The sequence below is a fragment of the Homo sapiens genome, chromosome 15, assembly GCF_000001405.40.
Source record: "Homo sapiens chromosome 15, GRCh38.p14 Primary Assembly".
Lineage (NCBI taxonomy): Eukaryota > Metazoa > Chordata > Mammalia > Primates > Hominidae > Homo > Homo sapiens.
The window spans coordinates 91,207,103-91,233,512 of NC_000015.10; the positions used below are offsets into that span (position 1 = coordinate 91,207,103).

Below are 26,410 nucleotides of genomic sequence, written 5' to 3' on the forward strand. Positions count from 1 at the left end.
TGCAGTCTTCCCGGGCTCCAGTGATCCTCCCTCCTCAGCCTCCCAAATAGCTGGGACTACAGGCACACGCCATTATGCCTGGCTTTTTTTTTTTTTTTTTTTGAGAGACGGGGTCTCACCATGTTGCTCAGGTTGATCTTGAACTTCTGAGTTCAAGCGATCCTCTTACCTTGGCCTCCCAAAGTGCTGGGATTACAGGTGTGAGTCACTGTGCCTGGTCTTAAAACAATGTTTTTTTTCTGTCGGATATCTAAAAAGGTGGGACTGAAGAATACCTTTGTGGTAGGCATTCTGTGTTAAGAGCAAAAAACTGGCTCAGGAAGGACTCTTTCTAATTCCTATACCTGAAAAAGGCCTGTGTGTGTGGTCTGTGTGGTCCCCACCAAGGAAACAATTTGTTCGCCGGCATACCAAGGGTCAATTTATCGGGGGCAATATCCACCAAGTCTGTTTGGTCAGCTTGATGTTGTAGGGAAGAAAAATAATTTCTTTTCCTCACCTATCACAAGGTTCATGGCTGACACCCCATAACCAAAGACAGAATAACAAAATAAAAGCATACCAACTTATTTAACGTAAGTTTTATGTGACACAGGAACCTTCAGAAATCATGACCCAGAGAAACAAGGGAATCTGTGTATTTTTATGGACAGTCATGCAGAAGTATGATTGGAGGGCAAAAGAGCATGCTCTATTGGTAATAAACTGGGGAGGAACTTAACAAGGCCTGTTCAGTTTCTTCTTGACAACCTATGTGACAATTCTCCCTCTCAGGTATAGGGCAGGATACCTGTCACAGGAGGGCCTTCAGGGGAGAAGTGAGGAAGAAGGTCAGAGAGTGACTTTCCCAGGTTTTATCGCCTGCATCAGGGAAGAAGGGGCAAGTGGAATTCTAGTGTCTGTGGCCCACTTCAGGGGAGAAGGGGGTCAGAGAAGGCAGAGAGGCCTTCCTACTTCTGCTGTTTTCTCAATTTCCAAGGTGCCATATTTTTGGGTAACATTTTCTGCACCCCATCAATATCGACAGTCTCACCCGCGTCTGTGATCTCAGTGGAAACAGCTGGAGCTTTCACGATGTAGTAGAAACCTAGCGGTGTCTGAGCAGCTGGTTTCAAATTCCCCAGCAGATACCACTAAGCCCTCTGCATTTTGCAAAAACTGGTGTGTCTATACCTCTATTTATATGCACAACAGCTTGCAGATAACCTCTTTTTTCTTATATCTCTCGGGGAATCATTGCTTTGTGATTTATGATGAAGAGAAAAGTGTTTTCCCCCCACCCTTGAAAATAAAACAACATGATGTTAGTTGATTTCAGAGGTGAAAGTTGCTAAAGATCATTTTGCTAATGACAGTTTCATATTCATGGAACACAGAAAACATCATGTATTTGGTTTCAAGACTCCGGATGACAGCAGCAGGCAGCTCTGGGGGTGGACCCTGGATGATGCCTGATGCAGGAATTGTCCTTCATGCAGCATGTTGCAGTGATGTGCCATCTGTTTCTAGGATGAGTCTAGTAGCTATTGAAGAGCCTACAACAATATTCCTGCCAGGTCTTCTCAAAAATTCATCTTTCCCCCTCCTTGTATATGACAACCCTCTATGTAAGAAAGCAATTTAGCAATAGGAGGGCAATGAAGATGCATCTTTTAAAAAAATGATCTTCTCCCTGTCACCCAGCTGGGTGGCTCACTCACACTCATCTCCTTCTTCTGCTCCATTCAGGACTCCAAAACATAACAGTGTTGGAGTTCATTTCAGTATCCACGGACAGTTTAAATGATGCCACAATGGATTACGTGGGTTTCCACTATTCTTGGCTTCAGTTGTGCAGGAATGCAATCTTCTTCTTTTTCTTTGGTAATAATTTATTTATTATGTACCTGTCAGTGCCAGGTCCTGCTTCCTGCTACATAGGTGACAGAAGAGTCAGAGATAGACTCTGTCCTCAAGTTGCTTGCCAGTTAGCCATCAGTTACAATGAGTGACTGTGGCAGTACTGTTTTTTGTTTTTTTTTTTTTTTTTTTTTTTTTGAGACAGAGTCTTGCTCTGTTGCCCAGGCTGGAGTGCAGTGGCATGATCTCAGTTCACTGCAACCTCTGCCTCCCAGGTTCAAGTGATCCTCCTGCCTCAGCCTCCCAACTAGCTGGGATTAGAGGCATGTGCCACCATGCCCAGCTAATTTTTGTATTTTTAGTAGAGACAGGGTTTCAGCATGCTGGCCAGGCTGGTCTTGAACTCCTGACCTCAGGTGATGCCCCCACCTCGGCCTCCCAAAGTGCTGGGATTAGAGGTGTGAGCCACTGCGCCTGGCTGGCAGTACTAGTTTTGATGGCTTAAGCAGAGTTTTCGAGTGTTGACATTATTTGGAATCTTTCCTTGCCAAATATGTAGGAGTAATTTGAATAGGAAAGCCAAACAGTTGAAAAGGCATGTTGAGGAATTTCATCACACTATTAGCTGAGCTTGTCAGGTGCCAGACTGAGATAATATGTGATATTCTGTAATATATGGGGAAGCCCAGATATGACTGCAGAGACAGCCAGGTAGAGACCTGGGTTTGAATCTAGCTCTGCCTCTCTCCAGGGGTATGACGTTGGGCAAATCTCTTGGCCTTTCTCAGCTCCTGTTACCTAAACCCAAATTCTCAGGTCTTTGAAAGAATTAAATGAGATCGTGAGTGAGAAGCTCCTGACATAAACTACAAGTTCATTAAAGGTTTTCTTCCTTTCCCCTTATCTTTCTTCGTTACTCCAGGATTTGGAGCAGAGCCCAGAACTGCACAAAACACTAGGCTTTAGCACTAAATATGTTTGCATTCCTGGCAACACATTACCCTTTTCTAATTACAAAGTTTATAATTTGCCTAAGCTGAATTGGGGAAGAGAATGGGGAGATGGAGGGGGACTAATTATAGAGCAGGGATCTGTTGGAGTGGGGCTTGTGAGTGTCCAGGCAGGAGAGAACCACAGGGCCAATGACACCCGGGGGCTGAGTCTATGGCAGGATAATTAGGAGATGGAGATAGGAATTGGAACACAGTGAGGTGAATTTAAACAAAAATTATTATTTCGGGTAACTAGATGGGACTGCAAGATAATCTGTGAGGCCACTACTGATAATTTCCCCAGTGAGAAATGATGGGGAGGTTTCCAGAGGCTGGGAGAGCTGTAGACTGACAGTCTATGAGGTGGAGCCGTAACTGGGCAGCAGGGACCGGGGTCCCGAACCAAGCAGGAGGTGGTAAGTAGTTCGGTCTAAGCTGCGGAGAGTACAGATGGCAGGCAATCCTAGAGGACAGGGAATTTCCACGGCTGGGTTATTGCAAGGCTAGACTGCAGCAAAGGGCAGGGTAGTTTCAAGAAAGGCTAAAGTCAGAGCAGAGGCAAATTGAGACATAAAGAGGTGGTTTTTCTAGCCTGCCAGCTGCTCTCAGACTTGCATCTGGGGTGTGTTGGGGAATGATCCTGGATCCTCCTTGATATCATCCCTTCTAGCCTGCCCATCTCCCAGCCTCCCTTAACCTCGGTAACTCCTACATCTGTATCCACAAAGTTTCTTGAGTCTTTTAGGAAGAGATCAAATTTCCAGCCAGTGTCCCCTATTGGAGCAATGCATCTCCTCAGTTTCATGCCAGCTTTGAGTTTTTACTGGTTTTGATATGCCTCCAAAGGTTCAAACGAACCAGAAGCTAGAGAATATCTTATGTGTGAAGAGAGAGCCCTTTCTTTATAGAAAGTCTACTGTTCTTAGGCTTATTAAAATATCTGTTCACTGGACTGTACGGGACATGAGGGCAGGAGCTTGTTTTATTCTCCTGGGTGCTCCCAGCGCCTGGCATAGGCCCTCCAGGCAGTAGGTGCCCCTGAAGTGTTGGAGGAATCAATGCCTGCCATTGATGAAGACAGTGAAGTAAGGCCACACCCCTAGGGAGGGACGACCAGAAAAGGAGAAAATGAAGTTGGAGAGGTGGGCAGGGTGTCATTCAGCAAGGGTCCTGTATGGCCAAATCAACGGCAGTAGTTTCGAAGCCGCTAAGAGAGTTTAGGCCATGAGGCGGGGGCTGATGGTGTCAGGGAACTGAGGTGAGAGCTGTGCTAAGGCAGTGCCAGTGGAATGGAGTGAAGGGCTCATTCCCAGAACTTCCTTCCTTGCTAGTCTCAGAATTTAAAAGCTAGAAGTGTCAGCAGGCAGAGTTTGTCAACCTCATGAGAAGGGGATCATGGGTGTGTGGCCTTCTCTTTGATGACTCATTTGATGATAGCCATGGCAGTCTTCAGGATCACACTCAATTCTGCCATTGGCTTAGTGGCTTAAACTCTTCTTCTTCTCCTTCTTCTTCCATCTTCTTCCTCCTCTTCCTCTTCCTCCGCTGCTGCTGCTGCTGCTTCTTCTTCTTCCTTTTTTTTTTTTTTTTGTTGGAGTCTCGCTCTGTCGCCCAGGCTGGAGTACAGTGGCGCAGTCTCGGCTCACTGCAACCTCTGCCTTCCGGGTTCAAGCAATTCTTCTGCCTCAGCCTCCTGAGTAGCTGGAATTACAGGTGCCCACCACCACACCCAGCTAATTTTTGTATTTTTAGTAGAGACAGGGTTTCACCATATTGGCTAGGCTGGTCTCAAACTCCTGACCTCATAATCCACCCGCCTCAGCCTCCCAAAGTGCTGGGATTACAGGCATGAGCCACCTCGCCTGGGCTTTTTTTTTTTTTTTTTTTTTTGAGTTGGAGGTCTCACTGTGTTGCCCAAGCTGGTCTCGAACTCCTGGCCTCTAGAGATCCTCCCGCATCAGCCTCCCAAAGTGCAGGGATTATAGGCGTGTGCCACTGCACCCAGATGTTCAGTATTTTTAAACTAGACTTTCAGCCAGAAGAATTATTTTTGAATCAACTCTACTGTGAGAAAAAAAAATGCATGTTGAAATGCCCACCAGGTTATAACATCTCTTCTTTGCTCTGGGAGATTGAAGTGCATCAGAAATATGACCTGTTTCTAGATGCTCTCTTAGATAAACCTATGTTGTGTGCCATGAGCCTCCAGGTAGATTTGTGCAACAGCAGAGGCTTCCATTTCAATAGCTCTGACTTTTCTTTCCAAAGAAATATTGCTTCTCAGGAAAAACAAAAGCAAGAATGAAAACTCTCCAGAAAACTTGCTCTCTTTCTTCCTTGGGCTTACCCCAAATCTATCTCTGTGGGCTTCACTTTTCAAGTTTTAGGTGTCAATTAGCCGGCCCTCTGTTGTTACTGAAGCTCCTTTCCAACCTGGCCCTACCTTCCTTCCTACCTATGTCTGCTGCCTTCCCACTAAAGTCCCTGTGTGCTCCTGCTAGAGTCACTGGCCCCCATGTGAGTCCCATCATTAGGTAACTTGACAGGACTCAAGTTTGCTAAGATTCACTGTTTAATTCTGTCAGTCTTAGCATTTACTTAGGGCACACGTGTTCCTGCGTCATCATACAGGGATATGTTCAGTTGTTGCTTACAGTAAGTGCTCTTTGTTGGGTGTATTTAATGGCAAGGTAAAGTGGAATTGTAGAGGGATGTTCTGGTAGAGAATAAAGGAAGCTGGCTGGCCACGGTGGCTCACTCCTGTAGTCCCAGCACTTTGGGAGGCCGAGGTAGGAGAATCGCTTGAGCCCAGGAGTTTGAGACCAGCCTGGGAAACACAGTGAGACCCTGTCTCTATAAAAAAATTTTTAAAAAATAAGAAAAAGAAAAAAATATTTTAAAAAAGAAAGTGACTTTAAAAAGAGAAGCTGAGCACGGTGGCTCATGTCTGTAATCCCAGCACTAAGGTAGCCCGAGGCAAGGGGATCACTTGAGGCCAGGAGTTTGAGACCAGCCTGGCCAACATGGTGAAACCCTGTCTCTACTAAAAAAAAAAAAAAAAATACGAAAATTAGCTGGGCATGGTGGCTCACACCTGTAATCCCAGCTGCTTGGGAGGCTGAGGCAAGAGAATCACTTGAACCTGGGAGGTGGAGGTTGCAGTGAACTGAGATCGTGCCACTGCACTCCAGCCTGGGTGGTGGAGTGAGACCCTGTCTCAGAAAAATAAATAAACAAAAATAAAAAATAGGAAAGAGAGAGAATAGAGGAAGTCAGGATGCCAAGGCTGGGCTCTAAGTTGGCTTCCCAATAGGACCAATAGACTCATGGGCACATTTAACTTTTCCTCAAGCTGGTGTTACTTTCCAGTGAGATACCTATCTGGCAGTGGGAGATGCAGTTAGGGTGTAGCAGAGGCAGTTTGGTATAGCAGGTGAGTTTGAATCCTGACTCTTGAACTTACTAGCTGTGTGACCTTGGCAAGTGACTTAACCTCTCTGAGCCTTAGTTATCTATGGAATACAAAGGTAAAGGTATGTATCTCCTTGTGTTGTAAAGTTGAAATGAGATGATAAATTTAAAGTGCTCAACTCAGAACGTGCTACTTTCTCTCCACCTCGAAGGCAGCACTTCCTGTCTGGGTGGTCTTTGCCAAATGTCCATAATTCATCTGTAAAAATTTTTACCATGTCCCTGGCAAAGATCATATACCACCTCCTGTACTCCTCTTACTTAATTTTAAAAATTCAGGTCATTTTTACTAACTGACTGCATTCATTTAGTAAAGATACTATACCACTCCTATAAATATAGGGTTACTATAAAAAAAGACAGTAAAAATAATACAGTGTTATGTTATTGATGGTAGCCAGATACTATTCCCTTTAAAGGCTCTGAACCTGAGTCTTGTTTTCATTTCATTCAAAAGGATAATTAACAAGTTAGCAAGGAAGTGGTAGAGCTGTGCTGGCCCCCAAAAGGAGGCTTTTTCCTTGACAATCAAAAGGGATTGAAAGAACCCTGAAAATGGAATCACCATTTCTCTATGTGATTCAGTGTTATTGAATGGTATGTTCAAACACCTTTTGAAGTCATGTCAGATACCATCAAAGGTAGCATCTTCCACTTTGGGAAACACTTAACTTGGAAATCAGTCATATGGGAACAAAATATCAGCTCATGACTACTGGGAAGTGGACCGGTTCCGGATCTCTAGAGGAGGGAGCTGGCATGGACTGGTGGAGTGGGGTAGTGGTGACCCCAACCTGGGGATGAGGATTCAGGGCAGGGTTCCAGCAGAGTGGAAGTGCTAAAAAACCAGAGGGTCTCACCCAAGAAGGCCTCAGATTTGCTGCTTGTGGAGTGAGGTTAAGGGTCTCGTTGTCCTTTAGAGTGTGGTATGCATCTCTGCAGGAATTAGGGAATACCTAGGAAGGCATATCTGTGTGTGTGTTTATATAACAATAGCTATTTTTATTGAGCTCTTTCTTGGTGATGGACACTGTGCCAAACATTTTGAAAATGTTAACTCATTTAATTCTCATAACAATGCAATGAATAGGAATCCTTATTATCCTCATTTCACACATGAAGAAACTGAAGCTTAAGGTTCAGAAACCTGCTCTGATTCACAGAACTTGCGAATGGCAGAGCTGGTATCTGTAAAGAAATGCAGTGGGCAAGAATTCGCTTTACAACAGCCACTGTATGGCAAGAAATATCATTAACAATTGTTTTCCCGATGAAATCAAAACGAAGTAGGATTGGCAAGCTGCCCATAATTGGTCTTTGTTAGGGCTTCCTTCCCCATTCCACTGGCTCACTTATTTAAGTGTTCCCCAAACAGTTGTGGGGGGTGTGCTTGACTCCTTAGTCCATGGCTATAGCCACAGTGGTTCTCCTCGTTCTTTCTGCTCCTCAATGCTGCCTTCAGGAGCAAGCCTTCTGCCATCTGCCAGGCAGTTCTGTTTTGGATAAACTACAAGAGACGCTGCTCAGTGATTCTTGATTCTGTTTACCAGTCGTACTGCAGGCTGGGACCATTGTTGCTGACCCCAGGGCTGCAGGGTAAACGGCCTTCGCAGGCATCCCATAGCTATCCCACATCCGGAGCGCTGCCTGCAGGAGGGACAGGTTCTGTCTCCTCTTGGAGAGCTCACATTCCTTCGTCCAGGAGTCTTTGTCCTTGTGGTTGGGCATCTCCACAAGTCCAAGCACCAGCCCCTCATCCCCTTCCCTACCAGCTTAGCTCCTGCAAAGAGCTAATTAACTCTCTGAAGGCTTGGGTGAGGTCTTCTTTGGCCTTGCACTTGAATCACAATGAAACTGTTTCCTGGGGTAAGAACTTAGGCCAGAGGTTCTTGACTTTGAGTGAGCACAAAAATTACCCTGGGAGCTTGGAGATAAAGTGGATTTCCCTCCTCCTTCTGTTTTAGCAGTTTTGGAATGGGAGCCAGGCGTCTGCATTTAGCTAACACCAGGTGATTCTCTCCTGCAGGTGGTTTAAGGATCACACTAGAAAACAAATACGGGCTAGGTTTTGGAACACAGAGGAACAGAGAGAGAGAGAAAATACACTTTTCAGGGGGGAATTGGCAAACATTAACATCTTAACTGATCATCCTGCCAGAAATATTTGCATAGTATAAATACATATTCATATAATATTATGGATACTATTAGTATAACCATAAATACATGATCTACCTAGCATTTTTACCTGGTATTATAGTGTCATCATTTTCTCTTTTTTTCTTAAAAAGTCATTCAAAAACATGTTTCTTATATTCCCATAAGATTTAGCTGTATAAATATCTTAATATTTATTTACCTAACCCTTGTTATGTGACGTATGGCTTGTTTTCAAGGGTTGATGTAATAAATAATGTTTTGATAAACATACTTCTCCATAAATTATTGTTCTGCATTTGTATTTAAAACTAAAAACCATTATGAAAATTCAGACTAAGTCTGATGTTACTTTGAAGTATTTGGTATTACTTTAAAGTATTTGTTTTTTTCTCCAGCAAAAAAATTCGCAGGGTTTGGTTCTTATTTCATAACCAATTGTTTCTCCCACCTTGAAAACTAGCTTTCTGTTTTAACAAAATAGAAAATAGATGGATGATTCAGCTTAGAAGAAAGAAGTATTTTTAATATAATACTCATGAACCAACACTGTTGTAAGTGGGGCGAGTGCAGCAATTGTTGGAAGCCTCAAAGAACACTGTCTCCCATGCCAGCCAAATAAGCCCTGGTATTTTCAGCCCACGGGTTGATGTAATCTACCCCAGAAACATCAAGCAGGGTATTTCAGGAAGCATCACAGGTGGTTAAAACATATTTTATGGTCAGAAAGTTGATAACAAGTAACTCAAGCAGTCAGTCGGTAGAACCACTGCACCCCCAGCAATCTTAGCTGGGAACTTGTGGATGTAAATAGAAGGACTACAGGCAAGTGAGAAAGTAAATGGCTCTGTGTGTGTCCAAAGAACTGAACTTTTAATTTAACTTGTACATTTTCTTTCTTTTCTTTTTTTTTTGTTTTTTTGTTTTTTGAGATGGAGTCTTGCTGTGTTGCCCAGGCTGGAGTGCAATGGTGTGATCTCGGCTCGTGGCAACCTCCACCTCCCAGGTTCAAGTGATTCTCCTGCCTCAGCCTCCTGAGTAGCTGAGACTACAGGCATGTGCCACCACGCCCAGCTAATTTTTATTTTTAGTAGAGACGGGGTTTCTCCATGTTGGTCAGGCTGGTCTCGAACTTCCAACCTCAGGTGATCTGCCCGCCTCGGCCTCCCAAAGTGCTAGCCACTGTACCTGGCAATTTAACTTGTATTTTTTTTTTTTTAACAAAAGTAAAGCATAGCATTAAACCAGTTCATCTATTTATTCAAGGCAGGGACATTCTGTCTCATGGGCCATTTTCAACATCAGCAAGGCACTGAATAACTACCTTTTTTTTTTTTTTTTTTTGAGACCGAGCCTTGCTCTGTTGCCCAGGCTGGAATACAGTGGCACGATCTCAGCTCACTGCAACCTCTGCCTCCCAGGTTCAAGTGATTCTCCTGCCTCAGCATCCTGAATAGCTGGGATTACAGGTGTGTGCCACCACGCTCGGCTAATTAGTGGGGATGGGGTTTCGCCATGTTGGCCAGGCTGGCCTTGAACTCCTGACCTCAGATGATCTGCCCGCCTCAGCATCCCAAAGTGCTGGGATTCCAGGTGTGAGCCACCGCGCCTGGCCCTGAATAACTATTAACTGTGTTCATTAAGCAAACATTTTTTGAGAATCTTCTATGTTCAAGACTGTTTGGTTTTGGTGATTCAAAGATAAGTAAAATTCAGTGCTTTATCTATCTTGGACCTGCCCACAATCTCCTGGCAGAGAGAAACACATAAACAAAGAGACACCAATAATTCCAGTATAATATGATAATAGAAATATGTGTGCAATGCTATGGGACCTCTTGGAGTAATTCTGAACGTTTGGGGGGAGGGGGAAGGGATAGCATTAGGAGATATACCTAATGTAAGTGACGAGTTAATGGGTGCAGCACACCAACATGGCACATGTATACATATGTAACAAACCTGCATGTTGTGCACATGTACCCTAGAACTTAAAGTATAATAATAATAAAAAAGAATAAACAGCCACCAAACTGCCAAAACAAATGGCTAATCAGCTTGTAAATGTTGCTCTTAACTTGAAAGAGACATTATCCTGTCATATTCTAATGTAATAATAATTCTGTTATTATATATTACTTAGATGCTTCAAAGCATTTTCACAGATACATGAGAAAATATTGAGTCAGATGGCTAGACACGGTCTTAGAAATCGTCCAGAACAATCCCTCGCTTGAGAGGCGAGGAGCTGAGAACCCCAGAAGGTGAGTGACTTCATTCATGCTCCCTCAATGCCTTTATGGCAGGGATGGGACTATGATTCAGGTCCTGTCTCCAGTAGTCCAGTGGACTTTCTCTAACACAAAAGACTATTTTGTACGGAGTCCCATGCCCTCACTCAGTACTCACTATTGCTATGACCATCTCAATTAGGATGGGAACTAAAGTAAAAGGTATTCTTTCTTATCGTTGCTAGGATAGTGGCTGAGACCCCTATAATGAAAGACAGATTAACAAGAGAAAAGCACACAAATTTATTTAATATAAGTTTTATGTGACATGGGAGCCTTCAGAAATGAAGACTCTCCAAAAAAACAGGAGAACTGTTTATTGTTCTGGACAGTTGTGCAGCAATATGATTGGAGGACAAAAGGGCATGGTCTCATGAGAATGAGCTGGGGGAATTTACCAAGGCCTGTCTGCTCAGTTTCATCTCTGTGTCCCTGTGTCTTCAGAGATAAGGATATTCTTTTCCTGTGGGTATAGGGTGGGCACTTCTGGAATGAAGATTTTATGACCTACTTTAGAGGAAAGTCAGAACACATTTTTACAATCTGCTTCAGGGGAGAAGGGGAAGGGGAAGGACAGAAAGCCCCTCCTGCTTCTGCTGTTTTCTCAAATGCCAAGGTGCCAAATTTTGGGGGAGTGTGTCTGGAACCTCACCCCTTTCCACAAAGCTGACACATATGAATATCTCATTAGTACCCGTCTGAGTGTGTTGACTCTTCTCTTTCTTTATATAAAATAGAATTACAATAAGGTTCTCAAATAACATTTTCTCGGGCTTTGTCCCTATAATGCCTCAGTGTCCACCAAATTCCTGCCAAATAGTTCCAGGAGTACCCAAGGGTATCCAGTCCTTCTAAGCATGGGATGTCTGCCATTTTCTTCTTCTGCCCTGACTCACTGGGGTGAATCTCTTGCCAAAACTGACTGCAAGTGAAGTCACAGATGCTACCGACTCCTGCTAAAGGGACCACCAGATGTGCTCAGCTCTCTATGGGTGGGCCCTGAGGATACTGGTATCTGGTATCTTGGCTAAGGGGACCATCTTTTGTTATTGTTCACAGCAGAGTTGCTATATTTTGGGCTTGCTTTCTTTCTTCTTTTTTTTTAATACATGGTCTTTCTCTGTCACCCAGGCTGGAGTGCAGTGGCATGCTCACAGCTCACTGCAACCTCCGCCTCCCGGGTTCAAGCCACTCAAGCCATCCTCCCTGCCTCAGCCTCCCTAGTAGCTGGCACTACAGGTGTGCACCATCACACCCAGCTAATTTTTGTACGATTTTCAGAGATGGGCTTTCTCCATGTTGCCCAGGCTTGTCTCAAACTCCTGGTCTCAGGTGATCCACCCAACTTGGCCTCCCAAAGTGCTGAGAGTACAGACATGAGCCACTGCACCTGGGCACATTCTGGGCTCTTGATACACCATCAAGATTGGACAGAGCCTGGTGAAGAGGTTCAGAATTATCCTTCCTTTCAGCAGTAATCCACCGGGCTTATGACCAAGATGTGCTCTGCAATTCTCTCTTCCAATAGGAAGCTCTTGGTCCCTCATGCAAATAGACTCCAGGATGCTTGCCAAATGGGTTTTTAAGACATGACAAAATCCTGGGATGAATGGAGCTTAGATTCTAGTGAAAAAAAATCTTTATTTAGAGCAGCCTATATTCCATGGATGTTAATGAGGATTCCAAGGAAAAAGAAGCCCATGATAGTGGGAAACACTGATTTTAATAGGTTAAATATTTTTTTGGGGGTGGGGCAGCAGCTTTATTGAGGTATATTTTATATACCATAAAATCCACTCATTGTAAGTGTTCAATTTGATGATTTTTAGTAAATTCATAGAATTGTACAATCATCACTATAATCCAGTTTTAGGACATTCCCATCAACACCCTCCCCACACCCCTGAATTTCCTCAAGTTTACTTACAATCATTCCCCACTGTCACCCACAGCTCTGGGCAACCACTAATCTACTTTCTTTCTATGGATTTGCATATTCTGGATATTTCATCTAAATGGAATCATACAACACGTGGTCTTTTGTGTTTAGCTTCTTTCATTTGACGTAATGTTCACCCAGGTTATAGTTTGTATCAGTAATTTGTTTCTTTTTTATTGCTAATCAGTGTTTCATTGCACTGCACTTGGTTTATCCATTCATCAGCTGGTGGACATTTGTACTGTTCCCAGTTTGGGGCAATTATAATGTTGCTATTAACATTTGTGTCCAAGTCTTTGTGTGGGCATATATTTTTATTTATCTTGGGTAGATTCTCAGAATGGAACTGCTGGGTTATTTGGTAAGTGTATGTTTGACATTTTAAGAAACTGACGAACTAGCTTCCAAAGGCTATTTTACATGCCCACTGTCAGTTTCTGAGGGTTCCAGTTCATCACATTCTAGCCAACACTTGCTATTGTCTGTCTGTTGATTAGAGCTATTCTAATGGATGTGTAGTGATATCTTACTGTGGGGTCAAGCAGGTTTTTGTTCAGGTCTTCTCATAGCCTTTAATATAGCAATGTGCATTGTGCATTTCTGAAAGAGAATAGTGAATAGAAGATGCAGTGTTTCCCAAACTTACTTGCTCTTGGAATTCTATTTTTCACTGAAAGGAGAATATTAAAAGCCTAATGCTCTACAGAACAGATTTTGGGAAGCATTACATCATTTGATTGTAATATTTTTAACTTTGTTTTCTGTGATATTTAGTAATAAGCAAGAGTTTGCTGCACAATGATTTTGAGTCATATAGCATAGATGCGGAGGCTAATAGAATGTAAAAGTTAAAGGAGGATGCTTAAGAGGTTAGCAGCATGGGAGGTAGTTGTTTTTAGGAGTAACTCAATATTTGTTTGTTTTTCTCTGTATGTGGTTTCCTAGCCCAGCCCTGATGGGCCCCAAATCTCATGGGGCATGAGGCTAGGCTCAAGCTTAGAACTTGGCTACATTTTAATTGTCAATACTTAGATAATAATCATAATTTTTATTTTTCATGTTTATTATTTTATTTTATTTTATTTTTTTGAGACAGGGGTCTCTCTCTTTCACCCAGGCTGGAGGGCAGTGACATGATCTTGGCTCACTGCAACCTCCGCCTCCTGGGATCAAGTGATCTTCCTTCCTCTGCCTCCTGAGGAGCTGGGATTACAGGTGTGTGCAACCATGCCTGGCTGACTTTTTGTATTTTTTTGTAGAGACAGGATTTCACCATGTTGCTCAGGCTGGTCTCAAACTCCTGGAATCAAGCAATCCTCCCACCTCAGCCTCCTAAAATACTGGGATTACAGGTGTGAGCCCTCATGCCCAGACAATAATTATGATGACCACAACAATAATAGCTATTAGATCGGATTTAAATTGATCACATCTGTACCAGACACTGTGCTGAGCACTCTTCATGGATGATCTCAACTGAATTCTCACAATGACCCTACTATAACCATTTTACAGATGAGGAAACTGGGGCACAGAGCAGTTAATAGCTTGCACGCAGGTAGTAGATGTGGCAGAGTCAGGATTGGAACCTGGACCCTCTAAGACCAGAGTCACTGTTGTACATCCCATAATCATACCAAAATGGTGGATCAGCCTGAAAAAATATTTTTTTTAAATCTTAATTACACAGGAATTATAGGATGCTGGAAAGGTTTCCAGTCCAGAATTTGGCTCCTTAGGGTCATCATTGTTCTAGTCACTCTCGGCCTTTCCTTCTCACCTGATAGGAAATGCACCACTTGTTCTCCTGTGGGAGTCCCCTTGTGTCTGTCCTTCCAGCCCCATGGCCACCACCTTTGTCCAGGCCTCACCTCACCTGTGGACTATTACCAAGCATGTGCGCACACACACACACACACACACACACACACACACGTGCATACATGAAAGCTTCTACCTGGTTTCATTGCCGTTAGATTTTTTATTAAAAACCAGGACCACATCCCCACCAGGAGGACCTTTCCAGAGCCCTGCCCTGCTGCACTGCACTGCTGTGTCCAGTTTAACAACCTTCACTGGCTCTCTTTTCTCAAAGAAAATTTCAAACCCTGAGCAGGGTATTCAGACTTGACTTCTGTTTCCTTCCGCATCATGTCTCCCATAACCTCCCACTCTTGGATCAACTGCTGTAGGCCACCTGGTCTCTTCATTCTGCCAAGACAAGCAAAGCCATCCTGCCTCCATGCCTCTGCATAGCCTTGTCCTCCAGCCTGCAGTGCCTTCCTCTCCATTGTTTGTTTCTCTGAGCCCTTTCCTGCCTTTGGACGTCCCCACTACCTCTAGGATACTATTTCAGCAGATCCCAGCCCCTAGGATCCCTCCTTCCTTTGGAACCCCTTGGAGAACAAATATTTGTGGCCCTGTGTCGTCTATCTAAGTTCTTCAGCCTCAGTCTTATTTTCTGTAAAATGGGCGCAATAATAGTCCCACCTCATACGGTCGTTGTGCAGGTTAAAAGATGTAAAGCACATGGTAAACTTAGCACAGACGCTGGCACGAAGCCTCAAAGCAAGTATTCAATAAATGAAAGATACTATTATTAATAATCAAGATTGTAATTTTTATTACCACACGATGCTTTGTGTTGTTTTAATCTAACTCTCTCATTAGGGGTAGATCTTCTGAGAATGGGGATCAAGTCATGTCATAGTCCTGTAATGCCTTCAGCATCAAGATCCCAGGACATGTTTGTTGAAGATGGGTGAGCAAACCCTAACCAAAGAGTTGGAAACTCAGTGTCAATGTGAGCTCTGCCAGCGACTCTGCGTGTGACCTTGACTTATCTTCTTGGCGTCTTAGTTTCTTTCACTCTGTATCATCCCTAACATTCTGTTTGAACGTGGATTTCAAAGCCAAGCCCTGATATTGATTCTCTGTGTTAATTTGGGCACATTTTTCAATCTTCTTAGTCCTCAGTTTCTTAATCTGTGTAACGGAGAGAACAATCTTGTTTTACCATTGGCTGTAAGAATAAATGAGGTATTGCTTATAAAATGCTCACCTTAGTACTCAATTCAGTTGCACTTGTGGTTGTTTTATCATAGCTGTTTGATGTTGTTATTTCATAAACACTAGGCTTGTTGAATGTATTCGTTTCCTGGGCCTGTCATAAAAAATATTTGTTTCATACCTCTGGAGCTTAGATGTTCAGAATCAGGGTGTCAACACAGTTGATTCCTTCTGAGAGCTGTGAGAGAGAATCTGTTGCAGGTTGGGAAGCCTTAGGCTTGTAGATGGCATTTGTCTTGGGTCTTCACTTTGTCTTCCTTTTGAGCGTGTCTGTCTCTGTGTCCTTTTGTGAAGACACCAGTCATATTGGATTAGGAGCCATCCGAATGATCTCATCTTAACTTGATTACCTCTGGAAAGACTCTATTTCCAAATAAGATCACATTTTGAGGTGCCGGCAGTCAGAACTTCAACATACCTTCACGCTATAGGGACACAATTCAGCCAGTACCATTGAAAATGATTAATAGTTGTGTTTCTTAAATGAAATAGAAATGAACACTCACTGGACAGTGATTCCCCTTTACTCCACTGCACTTGACATTCACAGCAGGTCTTTTAACTGAATCAGGTGAGTGGAGTTAGTTTTGACGAAGATCCTCTTCTTTCTGCAAAGCAGCTCCCAGAACCTTTGCCCTGGGTGGTGAGTCCCACAAGTGCTTTTGGAATTGCAAGTCTATCATTTCTGGTTCACGACGTTGTTATAGGGCCCCCAGGATGGAAATAACACACCAGATCTCAGTCAGGTGGCGTTCTTTCCATGTTTTTATAGCGCTCTGCAAACTCTCCTGCTGTTTACATGTGACTTATATTCCGCCGGTGGTCCCTAAATAGATGTAATAAAAACAGATTTAGAATATTAATCTGACGTGGTTCAGGCCAACATGGTCTAATAGAAATTTATTTACTGGAGATGGTGAAAAATCGGAAAGAGTAGAGTGCGAATCATTTCTTAGTAAGTATTTCTTGCTGGCTTCTTTGGCACTGTTTCTCAAAGTGCAGTCCTGGATTCCGTGTGTTATTTGTGGAAAATGCAGATTGCAGGGCCCTGCCCTATCCTGCAGATTCAGTGTCTTTCAGGGAGGGGTCCTGGAATTGGCATTTCTGTTGAGCCGCCCACGTTCTGAGTGGTGCTTCACCCTGTAATGTTTGAGAACCACTGGTTTCCATCCTCTCAGAAGGAAATGCATTGTATTGTCTGAGTCAGATGGGTTTCAGTGCTGGAGTCTGTCCAGGGCTGAAGACCAGGAGGGCCAGGAAGCAGGTGTGGGGCAGAGGGCCCAGGGATGGGCTGTGGGCAGAGGGAGGAGTCAAGTAGCCATGGTGAGGACAAATGTATCCAATCCTTTGTGAGGTGACATCTGCTGAGCATGCTGAAAGGACAGTGGATTTCAGGTGTGACAGGGAGGCCTGTAAAGGTTGATGGGGTCTGTACTGTGGGCAGGTGGTTTGACCTGGGGCGTGAGTCTCTGGTAGCCTCAATGTGTGAGGTCCGAGCATTATCCCTATCAGAGGGTCCAGCAGCTGGGAGCACTGGGGTGGGGTAGGGGGTGTAGGAGGGGCTGACGCCTAGCCCTGAGGGGCTACTCAGTGAGGCGGGGCCTCAGAGCCACTTGGAGAGAGCTGTGGGCAAATCTGGATTTCTGAGCTTGAAGCAGCCCTTCTTCATTACGCTCTGGGAATCTGTATTTTTAAAGCTCCCCAGGTGATTTAATGTGACAGTCCCTCGGGGTAGCATCTGGGAAGTATGAGGACATTGGAACGAGCTGGCTTTGGGACCAGTGACCTGGTCCTAATGCTGTGACCTTGATCGCGTTACTAACCCACTCGGAGACAGTTTGATTATCTCTCAAATGAAGATACAGATGATTTTTTTTCTTTCTTTTTTTGCTGTTGTGGGAATTACAGATAAGAGATGTGATACACTCAGCACATGTTCTGGCACACAGTAGGCCACAATAAATGGTGGCCCCAAGCCTTGTGAAACCTGAGATTCTAGGCACAATGAGAATCCACTGGGCAAAGGAGTCAACAGAGGGACTCTGATTGGAATTGGGATATAGGATGAGATCTTGGCTCTAGACAACATTGCCTCCTGGTGTCCAGAATTGGAACTAGGGGAAAAAAAAGAAGCAACACTCATGTCAAGGCTTAAATAGTATTTACCCGTGCAGACCAGGCACGATTCTAAGTACTTTATGCACAACCTTATGAATTAAGTACTATTGTTATCCCATTTTATACAGGAGAAAATTGAGGCTTGGAAAGATGCGTGTATGGTCACATGGACCATTGTGCAGCAGAATTGAGTTTCAGACCCAGGTCATCTGGCTGTATCCTCAGCCCCCTGTTCCTGCCTGTTTAAGCCTCATATGAGGACAGAGTGGCCTTTGAACCACAATGCTGAGTCTCAAAAGTAAGCTGGGATTCAAGAAAAATGTTTCCGGCTATTTTTTTTGGCCATACATTTCTAGATGTTAAATCGTACAGCCACTTCACGACAAAGTTAGAAAAGCGGCATTTTCGTAGCAGAAACAGCTATAATAACCTCCACTATTGCCAAAGGCTTGATAAGTTCTAACAGAAAATCCATAATACAAAATTGTCTTAGAGTATAAATCCCTTGACCACTTTATATTTCATTCTTGCATAACATTTTTATTTTATTTTATTTTATTTTTTTATTATTATACTTTAAGTTCTAGGGTACATGTGCACAACGTGCAGGTTCGTTACATATGTATACATGTGCCATGCTGGTTTGCTGCACCCATTTCATGGGTCAATTAGAGCTTCAAAGGGCCTCTCTGACCACGGTTCCTTCTCCTTTAGCCTCCACTCTCACCGATTCAATCCTCATTCAGTTGATAGAAATTTGAATGTCTGATAAGATTTCTCCCACCTTACACATGAGGCATTGGCATTACCAAATATATTGGCTTAATTCTGAGAGTATTTTGTTAGAATTTCAACCTTTGTAAATTCTTCTCTATCCCTTCTCTCTGTTCTCAGAGCATAACCTTCGGTGGCAGGACAAATCAGGCCAGCACGCAGTCTGCCAAGTCCTGCTCGCTCCCTGTCAAGAAAAACAGCTGGATCCATTTCTAATCAACACTTCCCAACGCAACACTTCTGAGTCTCTGAAGGAGACCAGAGCTTGAAACTTTCCAGACTTCCAACAGACATCGAGTGCAAAAGGATATTTAGGTTGTCTTTGCACAAATCTGGTTGATTTGAGAGATAAAGGGGGGGGGAACCAGTGTGACTTTCACCTAAGAAGTCACATGAACATATTTCACATTTGAACTACATAATGAATGATGGTTATTGAAATAGCCCAAACCTCTACCACAGAGCGAGGGATATAGCTCAAGGGGCAACCAGGCAGTCGCAGAACCAAGGAATGGATGACTACAAGTATCAGGACAATTATGGGGGCTATGCTCCCAGTGATGGCTATTACCGCGGCAATGAGTCCAACCCAGAAGAAGATGCACAGAGTGATGTCACCGAAGGCCATGATGAGGAAGACGAGATCTATGAGGGCGAGTACCAGGGTATCCCTCACCCAGATGATGTCAAGGCCAAGCAGGCCAAGATGGCGCCCTCCAGAATGGACAGCCTTCGGGGCCAGACAGACCTGATGGCTGAGAGGCTGGAAGATGAGGAGCAGTTGGCCCACCAGTACGAGACCATCATGGATGAGTGTGGCCATGGCCGCTTCCAGTGGATCCTCTTTTTCGTCTTGGGTTTGGCCCTGATGGCCGATGGGGTGGAAGTGTTCGTGGTGAGTTTTGCCCTGCCCAGTGCAGAGAAGGACATGTGTCTGTCCAGTTCCAAAAAAGGAATGCTAGGTAAGTGGAAATTTCCAATGATCCCTCCAATGAAAGGGAAGGAGAAGTAAAATTTATCTAGTATCTGTCACTATTAGGCACTTTAAATATATCACAATGTACCCATTTTGCTGTGAAGGAATTTTTGTCTTAGAGAAATCAATTGATTGACTTAAGTTTGCACAGCTAATAAGTATTGGAGCTTAGGTTTCTATTGAGGTCTATCTGACTTCTGAGCTCTTAGTTTGCTTTCCAGATCTTGTTGCCTCCTTGAGAGTCAGATTTCTTTCTTCTTCATGTTAAACCTTCTTCGATGTCCAAATGACAAATACATTTTGGGAGTGGCAAATGTGGGAGTGGCAAATTAAACCTTCTTCCATGTCCAAATGACAAATACATTTGGGAAGAGATCTCTGGCTGGTCTCTTCCACTTGGTCCTTCTCTCTGTGTCTTTCCAGAGTCCGATGGTGTCTGTTCCTGGTTTCTCATGTACATAAATGTTAGTAGGCTGAATGCCCACATACCCTGGGGATGAATGGTGGGCTTAAGCACACCCGTGGAGTCCCTGCAGGCTGTTGGGAACCATGCTGTGAAGCACAGATGGATTCTGCAGGATAGAGGACCAGCTTTGCAAATCAATTAAGAGATCAGCACCATCAGAGCCAAGCATCAGCATCAGGCTGAGGCAGAGAGGATTTGTGAAATTAGAGAGACGGTGTGCACAAATGGTGTGATGTAGAAAAGATTCATCATCATATGGACAAGCATTTGTCTTTAGTCACCAAATGTCCTGAAAAATGTATCTACCCTCTAAATTTAGAGTCTATGAAATTAATTGTGCAGCAAACATGTAGTTATGAGAACTAACTATAAGTCAAATTCTCATTCAAGACCAGGACATGCTTATGACCCTCAAGAGCTCAAAATCTATCTAGCAATTCAGCTCCTTCATTCAACAAATATCTTTTATTGGTTTACCTTATGCTAGACTCTGTGCTCAGGATCTGGGAAGAAAATAGCTTTTGTCTCTCAAATAATTTGCATGTAGTTGAACAAACAGACATTAACAAACACAGAGAATTATTTGGTTACTGTAGGGACAGTCTCTATGAAATACCTGGTGCGATTCAGGTCCCCGATACTTGCTATAGAGCAAGAGCTAGCAAACAGTTCTGTAAAGACCCAGATAGTAAATATTGTAGACCTTGCAGACCCAGATGGTCTCTGTCACAATCACTCAACTCTGTCACTGTAGCACAATAGCAGCTTTGAACAACACGTAAACAAATGGGCTGTGTTCCAATTAGACTTTATTTACAAAAAAATGGTCAGTGGGCCAGATTTAGCCTGCGGGCTGCAGTTTGCAATCCCCTGATTTAGGGCCACTGTAAATAAAATTGAGATATAAAATAAAGAACCTCTGCATAAAAAATTGTCCCTGGGGGCTCTTAAAAATGGTTTTACACGTTTGTGTTTAACTAAAGGGCCATTTGAAATGATTAGAACTGTGTCAGATATAACCCTGAGGGCACCAAAAGAGACAGAGTATATGCAAACAGAAGAAAGGGCTTGAGAAGCAAAGATATCACCTGGAGTTTTTAAACACCAACATAATTTTAGTGTAGTTCTTTTTCATATTAAAAAATTCTGCTACCTGCTTTTAAGTATAAATAATAGATTTTTTTTTCAAAGGACAAAACCAAGCAACCAACAAACAACCAACAAAAACCAAAGACCCCAAACAAAACAAAACCATCTCCAACTGATGTAAACATTTCTGAGACATTAATTTGTTTTGCAGTATTCCCAACTGAAACCCTGGGTCCCTGTGAGTCCAAATTGGCAATGTCGGTAATGATTTCATGGCCTGCTGGTCTCTCTGGCACCGTGGTGCCTGGCAGCCTCATTAACAGGGCTGCAGTATGGTTGCAGCTCTTGCTGGCTCCTAGGGCAAATGCTGGGAGTTGCGGGAACATGGTCTTAATCTGAGAGTCCAGGTTTTTGTAATTTTGCTTTTAGTGTCTGCCCAGAAGATGCAGTGACTCCACCCAAGTGGAGAAGGCAGACCCTCTGAACATAGATGGACTTCCTATGCACTCGTGGGAACCTCTTTGTGGTCAAGAAAATGAGTGTCTAAATGGATCCAGGGGGCTGGATGATTTGAGGATTTCATGAGGCCAGAATTTCCACACGCTGTCACATGGAATCTTCAGAGTCACCATGTCGGTTAGATGATCTTTGTCCTTCAGTGTGAACATGCAGAAACAGATTCAGAGAGTTTTATCTAAGGTCACATAGCTCGTAAGTGTTGAGCAGGGGTTTGACCGAAGGTCTATTTGACTTCAAAGTCTATGCCCATTCTGCCACACCATACTGCCTTTCTCTCACGCCTCGTTTGTGGGAAGGAGGTCATGCCGTGCACAGGCTGCTCTCTGTGTCATCAAGCACCTCATAGATTACTTGGAACACCAGACTGCTTCCAACAGAAAGGGAACATGGTATGCTGATAATGATGTGGGCACTGGAGTCCAACCTCTAGGGTTTGGCGACTGGGTACGTCCTACATGTCATCGATCTGCTAGTGACCTTGGGCAAGTTATGACTCCTCTAATTCTCGGTGTTTCCATCTGTAGAATAAGAGCAGTAATGCAGTGCTGTGAGGACTAAATGAGATAATGCAGGTGTAAAGCAACCAGCGCTTGTTGCCCTCTCAACAATGATTAGTTCTCGTTACTTTATATTCTGCCATTCTCCCATCGGGCATTTGCAGTGAACTATAGCTGCAGTGAGATGACGAAGCAACGTGGCCCTGGAGCCAGTTGCTTGGATTTGAATCCTTGCTGTGCCAGTTCTTAGTAGTGTGGTTTTGAGAAAGTTGCCTGGCTTCTCTGTGCCTTGGTTTCCTTGTTTGCAAAATGGAGATAATAATAGTATCTACTTCATAGGATTATTCTGAGGACTAAATAAGGTTAATCCATTTAACATGACTAAAACAGTACCTGCCCCTAATCAGTGCTCAAGATATCTTAGTTATTATTATTGTCGATTGTGGTTGTTCTTATTACTAAACTGATTGCTTGATAATGACTCAGGAACAGATTTTCTCAGGTGAGACTGCAAATTTCTTTCAGCCAATGTTTTTTATGGTAGACTTCTAAGGTCAAGCTATCCTGCCTCAGCTGGCGAAAAGGCTGTTTATGTTTGAGTGCTGCTAACTCAGTTCTGTCTTTCCCCATCCTCTCTCTGTTTTAAAAAGAAACTCTCTGGTTGGGTGTGGTGGCCCATGCCTGTAATCCCAGTGCTTTGGGAGGCTGAGGTGGGAAGATCACTTGAGGCCAGGAGTTTGAGATCAGCCTGGGCAACATGGTGAAACCCGTGTCTACAAAATACAAAAGAAATTAGCCAGATATGGTGGTGCATGCCTGTAGTTCCAGCTACTTGAGCGGCTGAGGTGGGAGGATTGCTTGGGCCCAGGAGACGGAGGTTGCAGTGAGCTATCATTGTGCCACTGTACTCCAGCCTGGGTGAAAGAGTGACACCTTGTCTCATTTAAAAAAAAAAAAAAAAAGAAAAGAAAAGAAAAAGAAAGTCGCTGAAAGTGATGTCTTTACTCTTGACTCCTACTTGATGGCCCAGGAAAGGAATTCAGTAAGAGAAATCTCCACTCCCAAATTCAAGTGTCAAATCATAGGATATTTTGTTATTTTTTTCCTGGAAATGAATGAATCCATTTGGAAAATAAAGAAATATCCCTTGGCCAGGTGACAAAAATATCTGGGTGCTGCTGTCCTATTTTTCTGAGCTTTTAGAAAGATGAATGTTTGCTTCTCTTGAGCGTTATGTTTTATTGGATCTTCATCTAGAACTGTCTCACTTGGGGAAGAAAAAGATCTGTGAGTATATTGTTAACATTGAAGGCTCAACCCTGCTTAGTGTCCAGGAGTTGGTCTCCTTCAACTCTCAATGAAGAAGGCATTCATTTGTTAATTAAACTCTTCACCCATTCTTTTAAAAAATGTTTGAACATTACCACACGCCTGGTACTCCTCTGGTTTATAGCAATACAAGGAGACAAAGTCCTGGCACTCAATGAGTTTTATTCTAATGGTGGAAATAGAGGTCACACAGAGATGTTAAACACAAACACCACGACATAATCATGCAATGCAACATTCAGCCTTATCACTTTTATTCAGATAGGAAGGAAACAAAGACAGTGTGAAGGGATAGAGCTTGAGGTTGATGGGCTGGGGGGCGTTCTGGAGTTAGGTGATTTGTTTTTGCAATTGCTCTATTAATGATTGTGTGACCTTGGGCCAATCTGAAGTCTTTCTTCTGAGATTCCACAGTTTTTGGTGGTTGATGAGTGAATCCACATGTATTTTAACCTTTCATGGGATAATTATGCATTTTCTGGGTATGTAAAAAAAAAATCACCCGAAGAAATGATTAAACTTAGGAAGCTCAGGGCTATGTGGCAAGGTAAGCCCTTTGGTTCTTACAAATGACATCACTGACAACGGATTGCCATGTTTAGGAGTGCGGACTTGATTCCACTGGTAGTGGAGAGCTGTTTAATGGGGAGCTATGAAATATGCCGTTGAGGAAGGAGGTGATAAGATGGGGCCTGTGGTTTAGGGTGATCACTCTGCCCCAGTGATTTTGGTACTGAGAGTGCTTCTAGAGGAGCAGAATTTTGAGGATGAGTTTTCTGAATTGGTTCTGGGGTTTCTGGAATTGGCTTTCTAATCTGATTAGATTTAAAGATACTTTATTTTTTGAGTGTGGGAGCCTTGTCTCCCTGGAGCTATTACTATTAAATGGCAAAAACTGCAATTACTTTTGCACCAACCTATAGGATGACAATATTGGCGACACGTAAGGCAAACCAACCCCATCCTTTTCTGCCTGCATTTGATAAATTGACACCAATTTTTCACAACTGCAAATAAGCACCTCAACCTGGAACTGTGGGCTATTCCCTACCTTCATGCCTATAATAGTGAGCTTCACTTTCAGGCAAGAGTTCCGTGTTTTGCCTGCAGAGTTTTCATTTCTTGGAAGGATCCAGTGACTTGTGTATTTTATTGGCTGTTAGTTTCTTGCCGTCTGCAGTGAAAAGACTCTGGGAGTTATACCTTTCAGAAAGTGATTTAGAATCTAACAGTTGACCCCTGGGGCATGGTGTCTGTGCCAGCCATACGGAGGACACAGAGCAATGTCAGATGGGGCAGATTCATTAGAATAAATTGTGAGCTGAATTTTCATAGCAGCTCAGAGATAGATATATTACTCTGCTGTCGTGAAAGATTATCTTGTGATTGTTTTATATGCAAATTCTAGCCGAGCATCAGGGCATAATATTTGATTTATGAGCCGTGTTTTCTTTAGGCCTAAATTCATTGTCAGTTCCTGAAAGGAGGAGCCACTCTGTGTCTCAGAAGGGGGTGGCATGGAGGGGGGTCACTTCTGTGGCACAAAATATGTCCTCAGTGACCAAGTATTTACCTACTTACTCATGATGGTGAAATCCACCACTGGGAATGTCCATGTATTTCTTTCTGTGTTTGATTTATATCAGTTGTTCTTATTTATACTGTTTAGATCATGTAATTCTTCAGGATAGACTGATTACTTGATGCTCTTGTGAGAACAAAAACCATCAGAAGAAATAGAATAGACTTAAAATGAAGGGCTCCCTTAGCAGACGTACACGGATTGCTGTGTTTAGGAGTGTGGAGTTGATTCCACCGGCAATGGAGAGCTGTTTAATGGGGAGCTATGAAATATGCCTTTGAGGAAGGAGGTGATAAGATGGGGCCTGTGGTTTAGGATGATCACTCTGCCCCAGTGATTTTGGTACTGAGAGTGCTTCTAGAGGAGCGGAATTTTGAGGATGAGTTGTCTGAATTGGTTCTGGGGTTTCTGGAATTGGCTTTCTAATCTGATTAGATTTAAAGAGTTTATTGTTTGAGTGTGACATATTGTTATAGCAGTAGTTCCTTTTGAATTTTTCACGTTTAAAATATAATTTCAACTTCTATTTTAGATTCAGTGGGTACATGTGCAGGTTTGTTACATAGATATATTGTATGATGCTGAGGTTTGGGATACAAATGATCCCATCACCCAGATAGTGAGCAAAGAACCTAACTGTTTTTCAGTCCTTTCGCCTCTCCAGTAGTCCCCAGTGTCTATTATTCCCATCTGTATGTCACGAATACCCAATATTTAGCGCTCGCTTATAAGTGAGAACATGCAGTGTTTAGTTTTCTACTCCTGCATTAATTTGCTTAGAATTATGGCCTCCAGTTGCATCCATGTTGTTGTAAAGAACATATGATTTTGTTCTTGTTTATGGCTGTGTAGTATTCCATGGTGTATATGCACCACCTTTTCTTTATCCAATCCCCCGTTGATGGGCACTTATGTTGATTCGACGTTAAAGACCCTTTTGACTCTATTTCTAGGAGTAAAGAGAGCACTGATAGTCCATGTTGTGACGTGGCAATGAAGATACATAAAATATCACTAGATACATCTAATCAAATACTTATAATAGGCAAGAATCTGGGTGACCGAGTACATGATACCTTCAAACATTTTTGTGAAACTAATGAGTATAAAGACTTTGGCTGTTAGCACTAATGTTACTGGACAAAGTGGGGGAAAGAAATGAATGAGCCCAAGGATTCAAATTCCCAGTTCAAATGCTGCATAAAGGATTTGAAAGCTTCTGTGTTTCCCTTGAAAGAGATCCTTATCTCCTGAGATTGCTGAAAACCAAACCCAGAATCTCATTCTGTGAGTGGCTGAATT

At 43.1% G+C, this 26,410-nt stretch overlaps 1 protein-coding gene across 15 annotated transcripts in view; it reads left to right on the forward strand.

Annotated features, from left to right (window-relative positions):
* Positions 1-26,410, forward strand: part of SV2B (synaptic vesicle glycoprotein 2B) — a 202,978-nt gene that overhangs the window by 107,515 nt on the left and 69,053 nt on the right. For 11 of the 15 annotated variants that reach the window (NM_001323031.2, NM_014848.7, NM_001323032.3 and 8 more), the window contains one exon: positions 18,771-19,612. The exons of 3 other annotated variants lie outside the window; for them this stretch is intronic. In NM_001323031.2, the coding sequence (NP_001309960.1) occupies positions 19,162-19,612 (451 nt within the window). In that variant the 5' untranslated portion in view covers positions 18,771-19,161. Of the gene's footprint in view, positions 1-18,009; positions 18,175-18,770; positions 19,613-26,410 lie in introns of those variants that run through there. One more of the 15 variants, XM_005254998.4, reaches the window with a different exon arrangement.